Source organism: Homo sapiens, chromosome 22 (assembly GCF_000001405.40).
Source record: "Homo sapiens chromosome 22, GRCh38.p14 Primary Assembly".
Classification (NCBI taxonomy): Eukaryota; Metazoa; Chordata; class Mammalia; order Primates; family Hominidae; genus Homo; species Homo sapiens.
The window spans coordinates 17412647-17435560 of record NC_000022.11 but is presented as its reverse complement, the minus strand read 5'-3'; the positions used below and the strand labels follow the sequence as shown (position 1 = coordinate 17435560).

The 22914-nt window shown below is 42.9% G+C and overlaps 1 protein-coding gene and 2 pseudogenes across 10 annotated transcripts in view, besides 1 other annotated feature; 1 reads left to right on the top strand and 2 right to left on the bottom strand.

Moving 5' to 3' along the window:
- CECR2 (CECR2 histone acetyl-lysine reader) overlaps positions 1 to 22914 on the bottom strand; it is a 198203-nt gene that overhangs the window by 122591 nt on the left and 52698 nt on the right. The gene's annotated exons all lie outside the window — the stretch shown is intronic.
- Positions 2491 to 2691: a silencer, noted in NCBI's record as "peak4447 fragment used in MPRA reporter construct". NCBI's record gives its function as "represses an SCP1 promoter by STARR-seq MPRAs in K562 erythroleukemia cells {active_cell/tissue: K562}" and the evidence as "EXISTENCE:reporter gene assay evidence [ECO:0000049][PMID:32103011]".
- Positions 10710 to 11317, top strand: CLCP1 (Charcot-Leyden crystal protein pseudogene 1; annotated as a pseudogene).
- Positions 14883 to 16620, bottom strand: TERF2IPP1 (TERF2 interacting protein pseudogene 1; annotated as a pseudogene).

Below are 22914 nucleotides of genomic sequence, written 5' to 3'. Positions count from 1 at the left end.
AGGTTACACAGTTCAAAAGGTGCTGAGGGCTTCCTAAACTTAGAGATGAGAGAAGAGGCACTGCACCATGGATCTAACTTTTGTGAATTCTAATCAGCAATTCACAAAAGTGAGATCTTACAATTATAAAACCCGGTCTCCAAATTCTACCTTGCTTTCCGATCTTTCTGCCAAGGTCTGAGTCTTAGAAATATTAGCAAATTCCTGTTCATGGACTGTCAATCTGAAAAGACTGTCAACTAGTCAGTTTCATGGAATGCATAAGAAATTGCAAACTGGTAGCAGGCAGCAACGTTTGTTTTGGTCTGTAGTTTTGTTTTGCTTTTCACTGGTTGTCCAACATTAAAAAAAAAGAAAGAAAGAAAGAAAAAACTTTGGAGGAGCTTACACAAAAATCTGGGTATCTCCCTTTGCTTGAAAAATCAAGTCTGACTGATTCACAGTTCTTCATGACTCAGCTGGCACTAACAGGGGGCTGCCTCTTAGACTGGACATGGATCCTCCAACTCATTAACTGCACATCCGGCCCCATCCCCTCCATTAAGTTACCTGTCTGGCCCTGCAGGCTTCTGAGTTTCGACATTAGCCCTACATCAATGAGGAGCAGGTTAGCTCGTACTTCAACAATACCCCATGTGTGTTCCTTCCTTTCTTTCCATCAGTGCCAGATAATGCTGGCTGCTCTCAAGTCCCCCTTGACTTGACACTATCCTTTCACTGTAACACCCAGGATTCAACAAAATACTCTCTGACTAGGTAAAAAGATGAGACTCACTGCCTTTATTCTGAACAGCAGTAGGTAAAGGTATCCCACACCCAAAATGACCACAAAAGAAAGTGCTCAAGAAAATACACACAAACAGAACATAAAACAAGACAGGAGTGACAGCTTAGCTACGGGGAGCAGCAGGGGGGGTGCGGGCATAAAAAGAGTGGGGGGTTCTAATCCATGGTGGGGGTGAACTTATTTCTAGACTGCTCGGAAAGTGATTAAGGCAGCAGCCTAAAGGGTTAGTGTCCAAAAAGAAAAGTTAGACTACTAACTTAAGTTGCCCGTGAAGAAGGCCTACTGTACTGCCACCATGTAAAGCGGTGAATCCTAAAGCAAGATTCTTGCACTGCCTGCATCAGAGTCTCCAGAATCCGGCCTCAGAAGCTGCATTTCAAATTAAACAATCCAAGGTTCTCAAACACTCAAGTTTGGAAAACAACTAAATTCCACTACAGCTGCCTAGAAGGATGGGTCTGGACTCAGAGCATGACCTCTCCTGGATCCTTCCTCGCCTTCGTTCAAGCTGACTTAACGTGAGTGGCCTTTCCTCTGTGTTCCCACTCACCTTGACAGAACAATAGTCACACCATGCTTTAACTGTTCATTCTCCCAAGAGAAGCAAAAGGCCTCTTCATTTTTTTTTACCCTCATGGACAGAAAAAGTGGCCTGACACAGAGTAAGTAAGTGAAATACGTTATTTCACTCTGTGCCTTACTTTAAAACACTGGGGGAAAAGGTCTGACTAAATGATCTCTAGTGACCTTAGTTATATTCTAGCAACTGTTTTATGCCCAGGGAACTATTTCTTAACCTATTTTTCATTACCGCCCTTTTAAGGAATCTTTTTAGATTCGCTCCCCATTGTCCCCAAACCATGAAATTTTAGTATGACAGAAACAGGTTGTGTATTGCAAAAACCATCATAATAGCTAAGCTTTCTTCATCACCTCCCCCTAAAAGAACCAATTTTCAGCAATAGCTCCTCCTTGATAATGCATTCAACTGTATTTGGATATTCACAGTAACACTGTGAAGATAGGAGGCCACGTACAGTGACTCATGCCTGTAATTCCAGTACTTTGGGAGGGCGAGGTGGGTGGATCGCTTGAGTTCCAAAGTTCAAGACCACCCCTGGGGAACACAGAAAAACCCTGTCTCTACAAAGAACACAAAAATTAGCCGGGCATGGCAGTGCGCACCTGTAGTCCCACCTACTTGGGAGGCTGAGGTGGGAGGACTACTTGAGCCCAGGAGGTCAAGGCTGCAGTGAGCAGTGATCGAGGCACTGTACTCCAGCCTGGGCAACAGAGCCAGAGTCTGTTTAAAGAACAACAATAAGGAAGACAAAAACAATGTGATGACAGGGGAGAATGTAACTCTAAAATGTTAATTTTAACTTCTTTGAGCAAATCAACACATGGTTTGAGTTGACATGTGTTACTGACAACCTTTAAAATACCTTTATCAGTTCTACACATAAACTTTCCCCAAACTGGGTATTATATTAACAGCATTCCTTTAAAATCTACACACTATTATTGAGACAGACTACATGTGAAAAGTGTTTCTAAAGATTTTTTAAATACAGCAATATGAGGCCTTCACACACATACTGACTTTAACCAGAAAGTGATATTGTTCGTATCAGTTCAAAGAATTAACTCTCCAGTTTGCCAACGATATAAGCGATAAAGGATTCCACCCAAAAATCAGTGCAGTACTTAGGCAACCAGAAATGTAACACACGAGGTGGGGATGTAGCTCGGTGATAAGAGTGCATGCTTAGAAATGTACCAGGAAAAACACCATACAGAATGTGTTATATTTATGGGTAACAATAAAGCATCTGACTGTCATCAATACTGACATGAACAAGTCTCTGTTAAAGCCACACTCAGACAGATAGAGCTGGGTGAGCTGGCTCACACCTGTAATCACAGGGTGAGGTGGGAGGATCACAGTGAGACCCTGCCTATACAAAAATAAAAATTAGCAGGGCATGGTGGCGCCTACAGTCCTAGGTACTCAGGAGGCTGAGGTAGGAGGGTTGCTTGAGCTCAGGAGTTTGAGGCTGCAGTGACCTTTGATCATGTCATGACATTCTAGCCTGTGCAACAGAGCAAAACTCTGTCTCTTAAAAAAATAAAAATAAAAAACAAGTGTTGGCGAGGATGTGGAAACACTGGAATCCTCATACACTGCTGGTGAGAATGTAAAGTAATGCAGTGACTTTGGAAAAGTCTGGCAGTTCTTCAAAAGGTTAAACACAGTAATCATATGACCCAGAAATTCAACTAGCTATAGACCCAAGAGAAATAAAAACCTAGGAGCACACAAAGAACTTTTACAGGAATATTCATAGCAGTATTATGGATAATAACCAAAAAGTAGAAACAACCCAAATGTCCAACAACTGATGAACAGATGAACCAAATGTGGTATTACCCACACAGTGGAATGGTATCTGGCAATAAAGGAATGAAGTACTAATGCCTGCCACAACATAAATAAACCATAAAAACATTCTGCTAAGTGAAAAAGCCAGGCACAAAGGGCCACAGTAGGGCTGTGTGATTCCACTTACAGGAAATGTCCAGAGTGGGCAAATCCATACAGGCACAAAGTGGGGCTGTGTGATTCCACTTACAGGAAATGTCCAGAGTGGGCAAATCCATACAGGCACAAAGTGGGGCTGTGTGATTCCACTTACAGGAAATGTCCAGAGTGGGCAAATCCATACAGGCACAAAGTGGGGCTGTGTGATTCCACTTACAGGAAATGTCAAGAGTGGGCAAAATCCATACAGGCACAAAGCTCAGTGGTTTCCAGAGGATGGGGAAAAACGTGAGTGGAGTGTGCCTGCTGAAAGGTTTGGGGTGTTGAAAATGTTCTAAAATTGACTGTGGTCATGGCTGCGCACTCTAAATATACTAAAACCACTGAACTGTATACTTCAAATGAGTTAATTGTACGGTTTGTGAATATCTCAATAAGCCGCGCCCCTCCCAAAAAAAAAATACGAGGGATACTAGAAAACGTGTTTGATGTTACAACACGCATCAATAAGAATTACCACTTTAGTCTTTTTTTTTCCATTTTAAGTCATGCTCCAATGATACTGTTCAAAATATAAATTCAAAATATAAATATAGTTTTCTTTGCTCCTATTTTAATTTATTGAATTCAGGTGAAACAGTAGTATATAAAAGCAAGGAACTGCTGGTAGTTATTCAAGATCTACATGCAAATAATTTTATGCCATAGCTCCAGATGGAATGGATCACTTTTAGAGCCGATGAAGTTCAAACAAAATATATGTTTTGAAGAGTGTTCTAGACCATAAATTTACTGAGAACAGGAAACATGTATGTACAATAACTTCTGTGTCAGGCACTATGACTCATGTTTTGCACAGACACTATAATCCTCCCATCAACCTTGTGAGGTGAGTAGTATTGTCTTCATTTGAAATAGCTCAAAACCAAATATCCTCAAGACCAGTTCAATTAATTACTGTAAGTTTCAGTTTCTTGACCTGTAAAAGAAACAGCAATCCTACATACATCAGAGTTGTAAGAGCTAAATGAAATAAGATATATTAAATGCCTGATTAAATGGGCACTCAAATTTCAGAGTTTTCTTTTTTACCCCAGCTTTAGCAAAAACAGATACAGCATTCAGAAGCTAGCAAAATGTGTATGGATGAACAGGGTTATGATCAATACTCAAACATCAACACTGTCAGGTTCACCAAGATTCCCTTTAAGTTGTGAGCACTCGACCATGCAGCATGCACAAGAACTATAGAGACAGGGCACTCACAGACGAGGCACTGTTGTGATCAAATAAAACTAACAGAGTTAATCTGGTTTAATGATGTGCATTAGCATAATCATGGTAAATAATTATATATATATAAATAGTAGGCAATGATTTGACTATAACTATTATGACTTACGTAGCCAATGCAATTGTTTTCCAGGGTCATTTGAGAGCCAAGGAGTGAGCTGTTTTTAAAACCACCAAGAGACACTGCAGCCATGACCCAAAGGGATGATGCAACCTTGTTCTTTTCCCCAGTGAGTGTTTTCAAAGAAGCCTTGGCTGGATGCTGAGAAACAACTCCAGCTGTACAGAGTACAAGTCAGGCTTAGGATGAACCCTTCTTTCCTCAGCACTACAATCTGACAGGGCAGTCTAACCCAGAGAGAAAGCTGGCAGAAGGAGAAGGAAAATCAATCACATCCTGAGAGGCAGGAGCACTGGGGTGTGTGGTGGGAGTGGAGGTGGGAGAGGGTTAGAGATAATTGAGTGTGATGAACTACAAGGGCTGATGGAGAATAAATTGGCTGATAGAGCATCTTGAAGAATTAGGGGGTAGAATAAGTGTGCCAGATGGAAGGATGGCCAAAGGACATGTGGGAAGAGAGGGAGGGTGCAGAAAGGTAGGGCCCTTTCTATAGATACACATTTGCAATGTTCATCAGGAACCCGTGCACACCATTTTGCTAAACAAATGCGGGTATAGGTTATGTGCATTTTTCATATAGAACTGTACTGAAGTTTGACAACTGTAAGAGGCCTGACCTATGAAAGAAGTAATGCAGATAAAATGATAACAGCAGCATTTCAGAAGCCAGACATCACTGAATACAGGATGATGTGAATCAAGTTCCAATGTACCAATTATAAATCTAATAAAAAGGAAAACTATCATCAACCCTGTGGTAAATAAAGAATGCCCCATATAGGAAACGAATACTCTCATACACTGTTGGTGGGGGGTCTAAACTGGTTTAACCTCTATGCATAGCAATTTGGCAATATTCTCCTCTTTGTCGTAACTAAACTATTTTTTCTCCTAAGGAGAAAGTCCTTCCCTAGAGACTGCACTAATGGTGGCTTAGTCTTCCACCAGCCATATAGGACTTCTTACTGCCACTCTGACCATGAATGAAAACATCTTTTGAGGCTCATGCAATCAAGCTCTAGTTCTCTGCTTCTCCCTGTTATTCACTAACCTACCCATTTCCTTATAATAAGCTGTAATCTCCTTCTGTCCCTCCCACCATCAACCTAAATGGTTGTGAAATCCTTACTTAGAACTCATCCAACGCTGTATAGTTCCTTTTTATCTTCCATAAGTCAACCCCCATTGATATAACTTACTCTGTATAAGCTAATCCAGAGATGCTGTCCTGTGAGATCTCTTTTTTCTTTTCTTTTCTTTGTTTTTGTTTTTGTTTTTGGTAGAGATGGGGTTGTGCCCTACTGGCCAGGCTGGTCTTGAACTCCTGGGCTCAAGCGATCCGACTACCTCGGCTTCCCAAAGTGCTGGGATTACAGGTGTGAGCCACCGCGCCCGGTCTCCCTTGTGAGATCTTCATATGCCCTGCTCTCAAATCCTCACCTCCTGTCTTTTATCTTACTATGTCACATGTCATTCATATCCAAAATACCTATTCTGACTACATTGGAATCTCTAGTCCTTGTAATACTATATTTTCTTCCAATCTATTAGTTCCCTTCATCTATTAATTCTACCACATATTTACTGAGGACCTTCTTTGTACCAATCACTGTGCATTTCTCTCCATATCCACCCTAGACCATCCCCCCACCACCATGATCAGTCACTTCAGTCATTCTCCCCATGATTCCAGACTCTCCCCTATCCCACCAATCCTTCTTTTACGCCTCCATGCAAAATCCCAACCCTGATGAACAATGATTGCATTTACATGTTCTCCTAGGCAGTTATCTGAGCACTGGAAAAATGAAAAACAATAGACTCACACATGTACACTGGTACCACTATAAGCTATCTCCATCATCAACCAAGCTCCACAACCCCTCTCCTGTTCTCCTAGAGGCCACTCCAAACATTTGTCTCTCTTGAGCACATTACCCCACCACGCCTATTCCCTGAGCATTCCCAGATGACTCTGCTGCCTTTATATACACACACACACACACACACACACACACAAATAAAAACATTATTTTTCTCATCTGGGTGCAGTAGCTCACACCTGTAATCCCAGCACTTTCAGAGGCTGAGTCAAGAGGATCATTCGAGCCCAGGAGTTCGAGACCAGCCCAGGCAACATAGGGAGACCATGTCTCTATTTAATTTAAATTTAAAAAAGAAAGAAAAAGAAACAGTATTTTTCACTAGGAATAAACTCAATATTTTGAAAACTTTTATTGTGAAATATGGGGGGAAATAATCATGCTTTTATCTTACCTGTTTGAACTGTATCCAGGATAACCAAATGTTTGATAAGTTTCTCTTTATGAAGATATTCCAGTTATCTTTGAAGAATGAATGACCAAAAATTAAATTACCGCCATTGTGTAAGTACTGTGCACTCTGAAGGTACTAACGCTAAAAAGAAAAAAATCGCCACTGTACAAGCCCTAAAAAATAATGGATCTAGGATCTAGGCAGTAACAATCAATGTCTGCTCACATCTCAGAGACAGCAGACATTATGTGACTACTCCCATCACCATCCATTAACAATTTGTGTTCCCCCACTTTTGCAATCTAACCATCTGACAAAGGGCTAATATCCAGAATCTACAAACAACTTAAATTTACAAGAAAAAAACAACCCCATCAAAAAGTGGGCAAGGGATATGAACAGACACGTCGCAAAAGAAGACATTTATGCAGCCTACAGACACATGAAAACATGCTCTTCATCACTGGTCATCAGAGAAATGCAAATCAAAACCACAATGAGATACCATCTCACGCCAGTTAGAATGGCGATCATTAAAAAGTCAGGAAACAACAACTGCTGGAGAGGATGTGGAGAAATAGGAAAGCTTTTACACCATTGGTGGGAGTGTAAATTAGTCTGACCATTTTGGAAGACAGTGTGGCGATTTCTCAAGGATCTAGAACGAGAAATACTGAGAGATGAAGCCAGCTGGGCTTCTGGGTCAGGTGGGGACTTGGAAAACTTCTGTCTAGCTAGAGGATTGTAAATGCACCAATCAGCATTCTGTAAAAATGGACCAATCAGCATGACATGGGCAGGGCCAAATAAGGGAATAAAAGCTGGCCATCCAAGCCAGCAGCCGCAACCTGCCCTGGTCCCCTTCCACACTGTGGAAGCTTTGTTCTTTTGCTCTTCATAATAAATCTTGCTGCTGCTCACTCTTTTGGTCCACACCACCTTTAAAAGCTGTAACACTCACTGCAAGGGTCTGCGGCTTCACTCCTAAAGTCAGCGAGACCACAAACCCACCGGAAGGAACAAACCCTGGACGCGCCACCTTTAAGAGCTGTAACACTCACCATGAGGTCCACGGCTTCGTTCTTGAAGTCAGCGAGACCAAGAACCCACCAGAAGGAATCAATTCTGAACACAATACCATTTGACTCAGTGATCCCATTACTGGGTATATACCCAAAGGATTATAAATCATGATACTATAAAGACACAGGCACACATATGTTTATTGTGGCACTATTCACAATAGCAAAGACTTGGAATCAACCCAAATGTCTATCAATGGTAGACTGCATAAAGAAAATGTGGCACATATACACTATGGAATAATATGCAGCCATTAAAAAAAGGGTGAGTTCATGTCCTTTGCAGGGACATGGATGAAGCTGGAAACCATCATTCTCATCAAACTATCACAAGGACAGAAAACCAAACACTGCATATTCTCACTCTTAGGTTGGAATTGAACAATGAGAACACTTGGACACAGGGTGGGGAACATCACACACCAGGGCCTGTCGTGGGGTGGGGGGCTGGGGGAGGAATAGCATTAGGAGAAATACCTAATGTAAATGATGATGGGTGCAGCAAACCAACATGGCACATGTATACCTATATAACAAACCTGCATGTTGTGCACATGTGCCCTAGAACTTAAAGTATAATTTAAAAAAAAAATTTGTGTTCCCCCAACATAAATCTGAATTTGATCAAATTTAACCACCAATTTATAGGACACAGAGAGAACCGAAGACATGTTAAATGATTCAATGGAGATAAAATCAGCAACTTCCAAACTGGGAAAATCTACAGAAAAAGAGAAACCTGGTTTCTCCAAAACATAAACTGCAAGAAAAAGGGGAAAGCTATAGAATAAAAAAATATTTAGGCCGGGCATAGTGGCTCACGCCTGTAATCCCAACACTTTGGGAGGCTGAGGCGGGCGGATCACCTGAGGTCAGGAGTTTGAGACCAGCCTGGCCAATATGGCAAAACCCCGTCTCTACCAAAAATACAAAAATTAGCTGGGCGTGGTGGTGCATGCCTGCAGTCGCAGCTACTTGGGAGGCTGAAGCAGGAGAATCCCTTGAACTTGGGAGGCGGAGGTTGCAGTGAGCTGAAATCGCGCCACTGCACTCCAGCCTGGGAGACAGAGAGAGACTCGTCTCAGGGAAGAAAAAAAAAAATTAAAAGAATAGAACCATTTACAACATATGGACTTTATTTGAATGTGACTTTAAACAAATTGTAAAAAGTAGGATTTTTTCCTACTATGGAAATCTGAAATTTGACAACATTAAGGAATTCTTTTTAATCTTTTTTTGTGTGATAATGTATTGTGGGTTTTTGTTTTTTTAAAGACCAGTGTCTTTTGGATGGACAAATGGATACATTCATGGATGAAATGATATGATGTCTGGGATTTGCTTCAAATAATCTGGGTGGGGGGAAACAGATAAAACAAGACTGTCCTTCAGTTGGTAACTGCTGAAGCTATACATATGATGGGTACCTGAGGGTTTATTTCCTAATCTCTTAGCTTGATATATGGTTAAAAAGGAAATTCCTCTGTATCTCAGCCACCCAAAGCAGAATTCTGGGAAGGAGCACAGACGCCTTTCCCACAGTCCCATTTTGAACTATTCACCAATTTCTGTAGATCTTATCTCCTTTCCTTTCTCTTTAACATCGCTTTTATGGCCCCTATTCTTTATTCTCACCACCATCAGTCTAGTTCAGAGTCATCATCATCTCTCATTTAATTAAGTGTTAACCTCCTATCTGGTTTATCTCTAGATTAGACCCTTGGTCTATCCGCCTAGACTAGAAACCAAGAGTCAAAATAGTTTCCACTGTCTAGAATGCTGCTTCTCCTCTAAGACCCATCAACTCTGCCCAAGCTAATTCCTACACTTGCTTCTTCAACATTTAACTCAAGCTCTGCTGTCCTGGGAAGCTGTTCTCAATCCCAAGTCTCATTTAGATGTATTTGCTCAGTGTGCCCAAGGTATCCTTTTGCATAGTCCTATTCCTATCAGAGCCCATATAGTAGTTTAGTTATCTTTAACTTATTTGACTTCCTATACTCAGCACCTAAAACCTGACATGTTATAGGCCCTCAATAAATATGTATTGAAAGTAAGAATTACAAAGCACAAGAAAAACCAGGACCAAATAGGTCCAGAACAGAAGGCAGTTTGACGGCTCTAAGCACAGTTGTTCTCACACCAAAAATCATTCCAGGGTGCTGCTACATACATATTCACCTGTGTTCACATACATGAGATTAAGATCCTCTTCCTCAGATACTAGATGCAATTTATAACCTCTGAAGACCATACCACACTACACTTGGACGCTAAAAGGAGAAGCAACCACATTCATCTTTCCAAACAAATTTACTAAACAAAATAACAAACCAAAAGTAGTGAGAACAAGCACAAGACACTTTCTTAGCATTTTTCAAAAGGCAAGTAAATGCATAGTTAACGTAAAAGCCAAGCTTCAAGAATAGACACTGTAAAGAAAGAAGCCTTAATTTTAGATATTAGATTATATCATTCTGAAACACAAGGACTCCGCCTTGTCTTCGACCTCTCTGTTGTCTGGCAAAACACCTAGTAAAAAGCAAGCAATCAATATTTCTTACATTAATGTCTAGGGCAAAAACATGGCTTTAGAAGTAACCATGGAGAAGACTGGTCACAATTCATAGGAGCTGCCCAGAGGGAGACAACAGTATCACTGTTGCCCATGCCCCACACATGGCCTGTGTCTTTGTCTACTGGTTCTTGCATGAGAGAGGGACACCAATCCTCCCTTTCATCAACAACCCACAGCTGCAGGTGCATTTCCACAGGGGGACGATGAGCACTCAGACATCGCCTTCCATTTCTGAGTGTACTTTGGCCATTGGGTGATCATGAACAGCCATGAGTGTGGGCCTGGAAGTGTGAGGAGAGATCCAACAATATGCCCGCTGAGGATGGCAGAGTATTTGAGCTCCACATCATCGTGCTGGACAATGAATACCAGGCAATGGTAAACGGCCATCACTGTTACACAGCTTTGCCCATCGACTGCTGCCAGGGTCTGTGAAGATGGTCCAAGTGTGGAGAGATGTCTCCCTGAACTCAAGGTGTGTCTGCAATTGAGGGAGATGACCACACTCCCCATTGTGGAGGAATCCCTTTTTCTACATGACCATGAGATTCCCAGAGCCTGCTAACAGAGTAATCCCTACTCACTCCAACCCTTAGACTTGGTCATTAAAACTTTACCAAACTTAAAAAAAAAAAGTAACCATGGCCGGGTGTGGTGGCTCACACCTGTAAGCCCAGCACTTGGGGAGGCTGAGGCAGGAGGATTGCTTGAACCCAGGAGTTCAAGACTAGCCTGGTAGGTAACAATTATCTTCTCAAAGTTCATTTAATTCCTTAGCATATTCTGATAACATAATATAAAAATATTTTAAGATGTGCTTACAATGACAGAATCTCAAGAGCTATAGGCTCTGAATAGAAGATGCAGAGTGACAAAAAACAAAAAGAATGGAAAATATTAAGGTGGAAAAGGCAAATTATTATTTATGCATATTGAGGCTTTAAAACGATGCTAAATGGGATTCCGGTTCAGCATGTGAGGAGTTTGGAAGTCCGACTTAACAAGTAAAAAGGTAAACACACTGAAGACGAAACAAGTCTTCTCAGATTCCTCAAAGAGATGACGTCACAAGGCAAATCACAGTGCCCCAAACTGGAGACAGCCGGGAATACCAAGCATCACAACTGACCAGAGAAGAAACCTACAAGGGAACCAGTGCCTCAGGGTGAACAAATCTGAGAGCTAAAAACTCCAGGGGAACCCACTCATGGTGTATAGGGGGCAATTCTTCTAAGATTTACCTCTGGAGTTCTACCAGGTTATCATGGTGAGTATCAGAAAAATCCTCTCTTGCCAGAAGCAGGAGACCACTCTGGAAAGGAGCCATTCTGAAACAGGCCAGAGCACTTAATTCTTCTTCTTTTTTTTTTTTTTGAGACAGAGTCTCGCTCAGTCGCCCAGGCTGGAGTGCAGTGGCGCGATCTTGGCTCACTGCAGCTTCCACCTCCTGGGTTCAAGCGATTCTCCTGCCTCAGCCTCCTGAGTAGCTGGGACTATAGGCGTGTGCCACCACACACAACTAATTTTTTGTATTTTTAGTAGAGAGAGGGTTTTATCAGAGCCTAACTGACGCAGGGGAAGGGAACACCCAACTCCAGTCCAGTCTAGCCATCTTGTCCCATGAAGGGTGGGGGGATAACAGAGAAGCATGTGTGAAGTTCGCCATCCAGAGGCAGGTGCTCACTAAAAGGCTGAGACCTAATCCTAAGACTAAAGAACGCTTCCTGCTTTCCCACCCCTCACCACCACATTGCTAAAGGCCTACTTCACCCAGTATATCCTGTCCAACTACCAAGAAAAACTGCAAGGCACACTAAAAGGCAAAAAGTAGTGTGAAGAGGCAGAACAAGCATCAGACCAGACTCATCGGAAGCAGACTGAGAGAGGGCAGGGAAGTGGAATTATGAGGCAGGAAATTGAAACCAACTCTGATTAATGTGAAGGACTCTAATGGAGAAAGTAGGCAGCTTGCAGGAACAGGTGGGCAGCATGAGCAGGGAGATAGGAATTCTAAGAAAAAATGAAAAGAAGTGCCAGAGAGCAAAGCATGGTGACAGAAATGAAGAATGCCACTGATGGGCTCATTAGGAGAGTGGACACCGCTGAAAAAAAGAATAATCTCTGAGCTTAAGGATGTATCAATACAAACTGAAAACCAAAGGGAAAAAAAAAAGACCAAAAAAACAGAAGATAATACCCAAGAACTCTGGGACAGGTACAAAAGGTGTAATATAAACACATGAAAGTACCAAGAGGAGAAGAAAGGAAGAGAAGAAATATTTAAAACAACAATGACTGAAAATTTATCCAAATTAATGTCAGACACCAAACCACAGATCTAAGGAAGTTCAGAGAACACCAAGCACAATAAATGCTCAAAAAACTACTCTAAGGCCAGGCATGGGATCCCAGCACTTTGGGAGGCTGAGGCAGGCGGATCACCTGAGTGAGGTCAGGAGTTCGAGATCAGCCTGGCCAACATAGTGAAACCCCATCTCTACTACAAGTACAAAAAATTAGCTGGGCCTGGTGGCGCGCGCCTGTAATCCCAGCTACTCGGGGGACTGAGGCAGAAGAACTGCTTGAACCCAGGAGGTGGAGGTTGCAGTGAGCCGAGATCGCGCCACTGCACTCCAGCCTAGGCCACAGAGTGAGACTCCGTCTCAAAACAAAAACAAAAACAAAACAAAACTACTCTAAGCATGTCACATTCAAACTACAGAAAAATACACATAAAGAAAAGAAAGAAAACATCCTGCAAGAGGCCAGAGGGGGGAAAAAAAAACACCTTCTCTATAGACGATAAGAATTACAATATATCTGACTTCTCAGAAACCAGACAAGCAAGACGAGGGGAGTGAAATAAAGTGATGAGAAAAAACCCACCAACCTAGAATTCTGTACCCTGACAAAGAATCCTTGTGTAGTGAAGGAGAATAAAGACTTTCTGCAACAACAATTGAGGAGATGTGTAGACCTGCCTTGTAAGAAATTTAAAAAAAAAAAAAAGTTTTTTTTGTTTTTTTTTTTAGTAGAGATGCGGTTTTATCAGAGCCTAACTGACCCAAGGGAAGGGAACACCCAGTGCAAGACGGAGTCTCGCTCTGTCACCCAGGCTGGAGTGTAATGGTGGGATCTCGGCTCACTGCAACCTCTGCCTCCCGGGTTCAAGCAATTCTTCTGCCTCAGCCTCCTGAGTAGCTGGGATAACAGGCGCCTGCCACCATGCCTGGCTAATTTTTTTTTTTTTTTTTTTTTTTTTTTTTGAGACGGAGTCTCGCTCTGTCGCCCAGGCTGGAGTGCAGTGGCGGGATCTCGGCTCACTGCAAGCTCCGCCTCCCGGGTTCACGCCATTCTCCTGCCTCAGCCTCCCAAGTAGCTGGGACTACAGGCGCCCGCCACTACACCCGACTAATTTTTTGTATTTTTAGTAGAGACGGGGTTTCACCATTTTAGCCGGGATGGTCTCGATCTCCTGACCTCGTGATCCGCCCGCCTCGGCCTCCCAAAGTGCTGGGATTACAGGCATGAGCCACCGCGCCCGGCCTTGCCTGGCTAATTTTTTTGTATTTTTAGTAGAGACGGGGTTTCACTATGTTGGCCAGGCTGGTCCGAATTGTGATCCGCCACCTCGGCCTCCCAACGTGCTGGGATCACAGGTGTGAGCCACCGTGCCCAGCCAAGAAAAAATCTTGAGAGAATGGAAATGATACAGGTCAAAAACTCCGATCCACATAAAGAAACAGCACTGGAGAATGAATGAGGCTAAAATAAAAACTTAAAAAAAAAATTCTTAGCTAATGGGTGTGTTCAAAATAGGAATGGCAACAATGTATTCTATTATATACATTGATGTGTACTTATACATGTCTCTAAGTAAAATGACGGACAGCAACGATACAGGGATGGGAGGAAGAATTAGGACTATAGTTATTACGAGGTCCTCATAATACCTCTCAATGTGGGTGAGGGACAGGGGTGATATAAGTTATGTAATCTCTGTACCTTCCTCTCCACTTTTGCTGCAAATCTAAAACTTTTCGAGAAATTAAGAGTTTATTTAAGATAATAAGTGATAAATGCATACGGATAAACATTAAAGTGATAAAAGTATAAATAAGATAAGCAGAAAATCCCTACATCAAAATGCTGAGGTACAACTTTACTGTTTTATCATGCCATAACACAACCTCATTTTTTTTTCAAATACAAAGTTATATTTATTTTCAATAATGAAAACAACACAACAAAGTGGACTCAATCCACTAATTTTTATAATCTAACACAGTGGTTGGGACAAGCTATGCTCAATAAATAACACACTAACCAAGTAAGCTTATTCTTGAGACTCCTTAGGGTTGCGTGCATGTTTTAAACAAAATTGAATGAGTGGTGGGTAAAGAAAGATACCCTACAGGCTTGACTGAGAAGGGTTCCAAGAAAAGAACAGCCAAGGAACAGGGTCCCCAAATACTAAGTTAGCAAAATGAATATGGCATTTTCAAAGCAGTCTAGAACTCAGAGCTCACTGAGAGAAATGACAAGGGTCTGGGGATAATCCGTGTTCAAGGCCTCATAATTAAATCTTCCCATATTTCTAAATTCTTTATTTGGAATCCATCGCAATCTAAAGGAGCTTCTGCCAAAGGATAGGAGATTACTTATGCTGCCTGAAATGGCCTATGCCTCCTAAATTTCCTTTGACTTTGTCACTAATATAGCAAGGGTTCCATTCCAACAAAGGATTACTACTATGTAGACCAACCCCCCTCTGGTTTAAATCTTCCTTTCGTAAGTATTGAAACTTGTTCAAGGACAGCTGTAAATACATCCAATTTGTTTTCTTTTTATCCTCCCCTCTACAACTCTGCTTGGCTACAAAATCTAGGACTCACAGAGCAACAGCAGCAATGGTCAGAAGATAAGTGCCAGTTCCAATGCAAGAACTCTCTAAAGTTAAATGGTCACAATTTTTTTTAACCACCTCATCTGCCATGACTTTTTTCTTTTCTCATTATCTTGCCAATTATTTCTTTCGAAACTCAATCCTCTAATCCTCTGAGCTATATTCTGAGCACCAAATTTTTTGACCAATGCCTCTCTGTTATCCCCATCATCTTTTTACAAACCTATGTCATCTTGTTGGGACCAAATTTATCCATCAGCTCTCTAGCTCCAGCTCGCCACTATTTTTTAGGAAGGCCTGTGTAACTGTTGATAGATCCAAGTTAAACTTCTCCATTAACTGCGGAATCATCATAATGGCAGCTCCCACCTCCAGTGGAGAAACTGTTTCTTCTTCTTCTTCTTTTCTTCCTCCTCCTCCTCCTCCTCTTCCTCTTCCTCTTCCTCTTCTTCTTCTTCTTCTTCCTCCTCTTCCTCTTCCTGATGAGGCTCTGTTTCTGAGTCTTCCTCAGGCGTGGGGGATCCTCATCACACATTGTTAAATGTATTTCCAAATCAGGGCTCTCATCCACCACAACCTCCTCCAATCCCCAGGTGGCTTCTGCAAGCATCTTTTACAGTGCTTCTTCACTCTCCTGGATTTCTACCTTCACATGCTCTTCCTTCAGGCCGATGTGGAGTTCTCTCACTCTGTGGTTCCCATTATCCGCAGCCAGGTGGCCTGCTCCAGTCTTCCGCGGGAGCTTCTGGGAGGAGGGGCGCCCCAGGCGTCCCCTGGCAAGTGCTCGTGCTCCTGACCCCGCGGGGGCTTCAGGGACCGCCACCAGGGATGCGTGGGCGAGTTGTCCACAAGCCGCTGCTGGTGATGGAGCTGGGCGAGCAGCCATTTTCCTTCCCGTCAGTCAGGACAGCCACGTCATCCGCGTCTGGGAAGGCGCCTCCGCGGTGCCCTTGGCCAGGGCCCCGGGCTTTGTCTCCGAGCAGTGTCCCCTGAGGCGAGGCGGGGCCCAGCCGATAGGCTCCAGCTCCAGCCTCTCGCTGGCTCCACCAGTCCAGGATGTACCTGTGGAAATGAAGTGGCCCAGGGCTTCGGCCCGCGCCTCCCGGGCTCCTGGACCTGACAGTGCGGTCACCCTGCAGGATGAGCTCGGCCGGGCTGGGCCCCACGTGGAAGAACACAGAGCTGCTGTCCTCCCTCTCCCGTCCTCCCTCTCTCCAACAGAGTCGAGGAATGGATGGGTCCATTGGGGTCTTTGCCCAAATCCATCGCCTCCGCCATGTCTGACGCCGGGCACTAGAGGAGCTGCCCCTCGCGAGTGTCTGGCACACAGCGAGACTGACCTAACCTCATTTTTATATAGCTCATCTGGAGACCAGAAAGACTAAACAATACTTAAACAAAGTTAGTTACATGATTGCACAGCTCACAGCTAATTATAACAGAAACAGAAAACTATTAGGAAAGTATGTGAACGGATACAAGTAAAAGGGAGTTGGTTTCTGACAAGAGGTGCAATAGAAACCTCCCTCTCCCAGTACCTGTGGGGCTACTACAGTTCCGGGCAAAGACAGACACAGCTCAACAGAACGAAAATGAACCACTAAGCTACAGCGCAGTGCAGTAACACATAGGCTTGAGGATGCACAATTACTGGGACTAGATAAAAGTATATCCCATACATTAGCCTGGGAAGGACAAGTAAAACGGCATATGTTATGATTGCACTTATTTTCCAGGACAGACAAATTTATCTGTAGTGAGAGAAATCAGATCAGCCATTGCCTGGGGCAGGGTATGTGTGGTGGGGCAGATTTGACTGCACGCAGCATGAGAGAACTTTCTTGGGGAATGAAAATGATTTATATTTTTTGGGGGGTGGTGGTTATACACTTGTATACAGCTGTCAAAACTCAACTGTATACTTACAATCTGTGTAATTAATTGTATACAAATTATACCTCAAAGATGATTGGTTTTTATGTTTTTTTTTAAGGCTAAGAAGTATAATACGTTCTATCAAGATTCTTCTCAAAAGCGGAAAATTTAAAATTGAGGGCCGGGCACAGTGACTCACACCTGTAGTATCAGCACTTTGGGAGGCCAAGGCAGGTGGATCACTTGAGGTCAGGAGTTCAGGACCAGCCTGACCAACATGGTGAAATCCTGTCTCTACTAAAAATACAAAAAAATTAGCCGGGCATGGTGGCACGTGTCTATAGTCCCAGCTACTAGGGAGGCTGAGGCATGAGAATCCCTTGAACCCGGGAGGCAGAGGTTGCAGTGAGCCAAGATCACGCTACTGCACTCCAGCCTGGCTGAAAAAACAAGGGTCTGTCTCAAAAAAATACTAAAATAAAATAAGAGGCCAGACTGGGTGTTGTGGAATGCTGCCTATAGTCCCAGCTGCTCGTGTGAATGGCTTGAGGCTATGAGTTGGAGGGCAGCCTGAGGCAACATAGCGAGATCCTGTATCAATTTAAAAAAAATTTTTTTTCAGGCCACAAGTAGTAAACTGTAGTAAACTCCATTATATGGAAATCTCAGCTATCCAGAAGATCTGCTTCCAAGTAAATTCCAGAGAGCCACAATTTTACTTTTCATCCTAAGCAGAAATCGTAGCAATAACACCTTTAACCTAATTATTTTTTCTCCCTTTTTACAAGACTTGTCAAAACTTGACAGTGATTAATATTAGTTTCACTAAGTACAGCTTTTTAAGTTGTTATAAAGATAGTGCCACTCAATGGTTGTTGGTAGGCCTACATTTAAATTTATCTAAATGCCATTTCTATTCAAATGCCTACAACAGAAACTTCTGAAACGCATGGAGTAAAGGCAATCAAAAAATAAGTTTCTTCAAGAATTAACGAGGGTAAAACATCTACCACTGTATGTGATAAAGTTAAATTCTTAGATTTTTTTTAAAGTCCCTTTGTCGTAAAAAAAAAAAAAAAAGAATCTGACAATGTTGATGTGATATACGTATCAAGAGACTTTAAAAAGATTCATACTGTGACACTTTTAAGGAGTTACTATATGGAAATAATCATAAATGTGCACATTTGGTATCCAATGGTGCTTTATTTATTTAGAAAGAGAAAAAGTAAAGCTACTGACACAATCTAAGGTTCCAAATTGGAAGAACCATGATCCATCTATAATAGTATGATCAATGCCAGGCGTGGTGGGTCGCACCTGTAATCCCAGCACTTTGGGAGACTGAGGCAGGCAGATCACTTGAGGCCAGCAGTTCCAGACCAGCTCGGCCAACATCATGAAACCGTGTCTCTACTAAAAATACAAAAATTAGCTGGGCATGATGGCACGTGCCTGTAATCCCGGCTACTAGGGAGGCTGAGGCATGGGAATTGCTTGAACCCAAGACAGTGCCACTGTACTCCAGTCTGGGCGACCAGAGCAAGACTCTGTCTCAAAATAACAATATAATAATAACAGTATGATCAAGATTTGAACTCCTATAGCCTAGATTGTGGGACCAAAATCCTAACCAACATACCCTATTTGGTTTTGCCCATTTTATCATTCAGAGCATTAATGAGGAGGATGCAATTTGTCAATATCTGAGGGCAAAGGAAACAAATACAAAAAAAGGTCAGTGACAATAAAGGTATAGAAAAAAACTAAACATATATATATTCCATCTTCTTGACTCACAAAGCAAAAAGAAATTCCAAATTCCATATTAGTAATCATTTTAAGGAAGTGATAAATATAAATCACTGCTCCTTTCTTCATGTCTCTAGCTTACCTTTGAACTCTATATATGCGAACATATTTTATAAGAGATCTGTCACTATTTAGAGAGCCATATTCAAAGGTTCCCTTTAAGGTATCTCACTAAGAAAGGCACCCAACTCCCTTCACATTGACTGCAGGCTTCATGTTGTCACCATTTTAATCCAACACAAAAATGGGAAGGGCCTGGAAACATTAATGGCAATCCTAAAAACAGTTTCTTCCCAGAAATCGTGAGTGTACTGGGAAACCTGGACCTCTGGATTTGGTGATGAGCCCTCAAATCTCCAGTGAACAAAAAATTAAATCTAAGAGAAAGGTGTGTTGCAGTGGATGCTACACAATGGACCGACGGATTGATGGGATGATGAACAAACAACAGAGAGATAAAAGTTTCAAATTATTTGTAGATGAAAGTAAAGAACAGATAAACCAAAATTGCTGAAACCAACATTTTAAAGTTCCAATTTCTGACCCACTTAAAAACACAAACCTTCCATTTCACGAAGATAGCCTAAGGCAAAAGTAAGTATAAGTCCTGATCCACCCAGGCCCAGGTTTTCCTGTCGGAGGCTTCCCTACACTACTTTAAGACATCTCCCCATTTTATCCAATGCATGGTGTAAATACCAACTGTAGAAGGCACAGTAATTTAAATGAACCATTAAAAAACAGTAGGCCAGACATCGTGGCTCACGCCTGTAATCCCAGCACTTTGGGAGGCCAAGGCAGGAAGATCGCTTGAGCCCAGGAGTTTGAGACCAGTCTGGGCAATATGGCGAAACTTCATCTCTACAAAAAATACAAAAATTAGCCAGGCACGGTGGCGCGCCCCTGTCTGTGATCCCAGCTACTTGGGAGGCTAAGGTGGAAGGATGGCTTGAGCCTGGGAGGTGGAGGTTGCAGTGAGCTGAGATTGTGCCACTGCATTCCAGCCTGGGCGACAGAGACCCTGTCTCAAGAAGAAGAAAAAAAGAAGAACAAAGAAGGAGAAGAAGAGAAGCTTCATTTCAGCTGAAAAAATAAAGAAAAGTCAATAACTGAGACTACAAGCCATATGTCTGTTAACAGGTAAGGTTCATATTCACTCATGTAATGACTTTATAGTGCCCACCGCTAGGCACTGAAGGCACCAACACGAATGGCTTCTAAGTGAATTAACCATTCATCTTACACATACTCCTATGCCCCAAGTAAGAGACAATTTAGTAAACATGTATATCATATATTTTACACTGTCTAAAATTGATTCTCACTTTAAAAACCACACCTCAGAAATTAATCACTGGAGACCAACAGATGCCTTAAACATGTAAGCATGCCCCCAAACAGGTACACCACTAAGAAAGGCTCAAGATAAATCACACACAGGCTCTGGGGGGTACTAGCTATAATCCACTCCCACTGCCCCTAACGCCTCACCCCAACCATTTTTCTCCCGTCCTAGAGAGCATGTGAAAATGTGAGTGAGCACAGGTGGGAAATGAACAATGAGAACACTTGGACACAGGAAAGGGAACATCACACACCAGGGCCAGTCGTGGGGTGGGGGGAGGGGGAGGGATACCATTAGGAGACATACCTAATGTAAATGACAAGTTAATGGGTGCAGCACACCAACATGGCACACGTATACATATGTAACAAACCTGCACGTTGTGCACATGTACCCTAGAACTTAAAGTATAATAATAAAAAAAAATCAGGAAAAAAAAAAGAAAACTGATATAATAAATGGGTTTCGTTCTAAAAAAAAAAAAAAGAAAAAAGAAACTGAGTGAGAAAATTACAAAAATAACTTTAAATCTACTCTAACTTTTTAGGTATATAATTTGCCAACTTAGGGAATTCACAATCAGTAATAAAGTACCTGCAATACACTTCAAAACTCTGTCAACACTGAGAATCTGTCTCCTAGGGATCTAGAGTGATTAATAATCCTCCTTCCGCCGGGCGCAGTGGCTCACGCCTGTAATCCCAGCACTTTGGGAGGCCAAGGCGGGCGGATCACGAGGTCAGGCGATCGAGACCATCCTGGCTAACACAGTGAAATCCCATCTCTACTAAAAATACAAAAAATTAGCCAGGCGTGGTGGCAGGCACCTGTAGTCCCAGCTACTCAGAAGGCTGAGGCAGGAGAATGGCGTGAACCTGGGAGGCGGAGCTTGCAGTGAGCGGAGATTGCACCACCACACTCCAGCCTGGGTGACAGAGCAAGACTCCGTCTCAAAAAATAATAATAGGCCGGGCGCGGTGGTTCACGCCTGTAATCCCAGCACTTTGGGAGGCCGAGGTGGGCGGATCACAAGGTCAGGTGATCGAGACCATCCTGGCTACCATGGTGAAACCCTGTCTCTACTAAAAAAAAAAAAAAATTAGCCGGCCGTGGTGGCAGGCACTTGTAGTCCCAGCTACTCGGGAAGCTGAGGCAGGAGAATGGCGTGAACATGGGAGGCGGAGCTTGCAGTGAGCTGAGATCGCGCCACTGTACTCCAGCCTGGGCGACAGAGCAAGACTCCATCTCAAAAAATAATAATAATAATAATAATAATAATCCTCCTTCCAAATGCACATGAAATTTGGACTATCTTTAGACCACACATCTAGCTTACAGAATAGTTTGGCGAGCAGGCCCAAAATGTCATACTGAATACTAAATGAAAGACTACAGGTAGAGTCCTGCAGTGAAGGACTCTACCTATTTTCCCTGCTGCTAAGATCCCCAGGTCTGAACAATGTTAATGGAGTCCACAAGCCAGGCAGCTGCAGAATAGTGAGCTTAAGGAAGTGAGGTAATCACGGCCAAGACACAGCAATACATTAAGAACGTGCCTCAAAACAATTAAAAGCAACCAAAACAGACTGCAGATCTTACAGGGTATTTGCTTGGAAACGAAGAAATCCTGCAAAGGAGTATGTCATGCCCTCTGCTGCTGTCAGTGCCCTGTTTTCCTCCACACTCTCCAAGGTTAGAACCATCAACCTGCTCTCTTTGTTCTCCTCTGTGTTTTCCTCACAAGAATACTTTTCTGATACTACTTCCCTTATGGGAGGTCCATTCCCCATCAGATAACCCTCATCCATCACCAGCCTCACCACTGACTCCAGGAAGACAAAAGGCTCTGCAAAAGGAGTATTCCCAACAAGGCCAAAGAAAGGCATGTGCGCCCCAAGAGAGGGTGGAGGACAGGGCCAGGCACTCTCAACCTCAGACCAGTTTTAAAGAGGATGTCAGGCATCTCCTGAGGAAAACTTAACAACGTCTAATCAGAAGTCCGACTGCAGCCTAGCCGCAAAAAAAGCAGCATCGTCTTCAAAGAACAGAATGTGGAGGCACAGATACACAGACTGGCCGCACCCGCACTGCCACGAGAAAGGAAAGGGGCGGCTCTGCACGATGCCTGCCAAAGGTGGTCATGGTTCCATCCCCCTCACCCAGAAGGCCGCCCGCCACCTGTCTCCACACAAAGACACAATACAAGGCGGATGGAGACTCAAGAATGGCTTCAAAGAGCTTTCCAGGCAGGCTGAGGGACAGTTTCCTCAGCCTCCGAAGTCCTAATTTTCCTTTA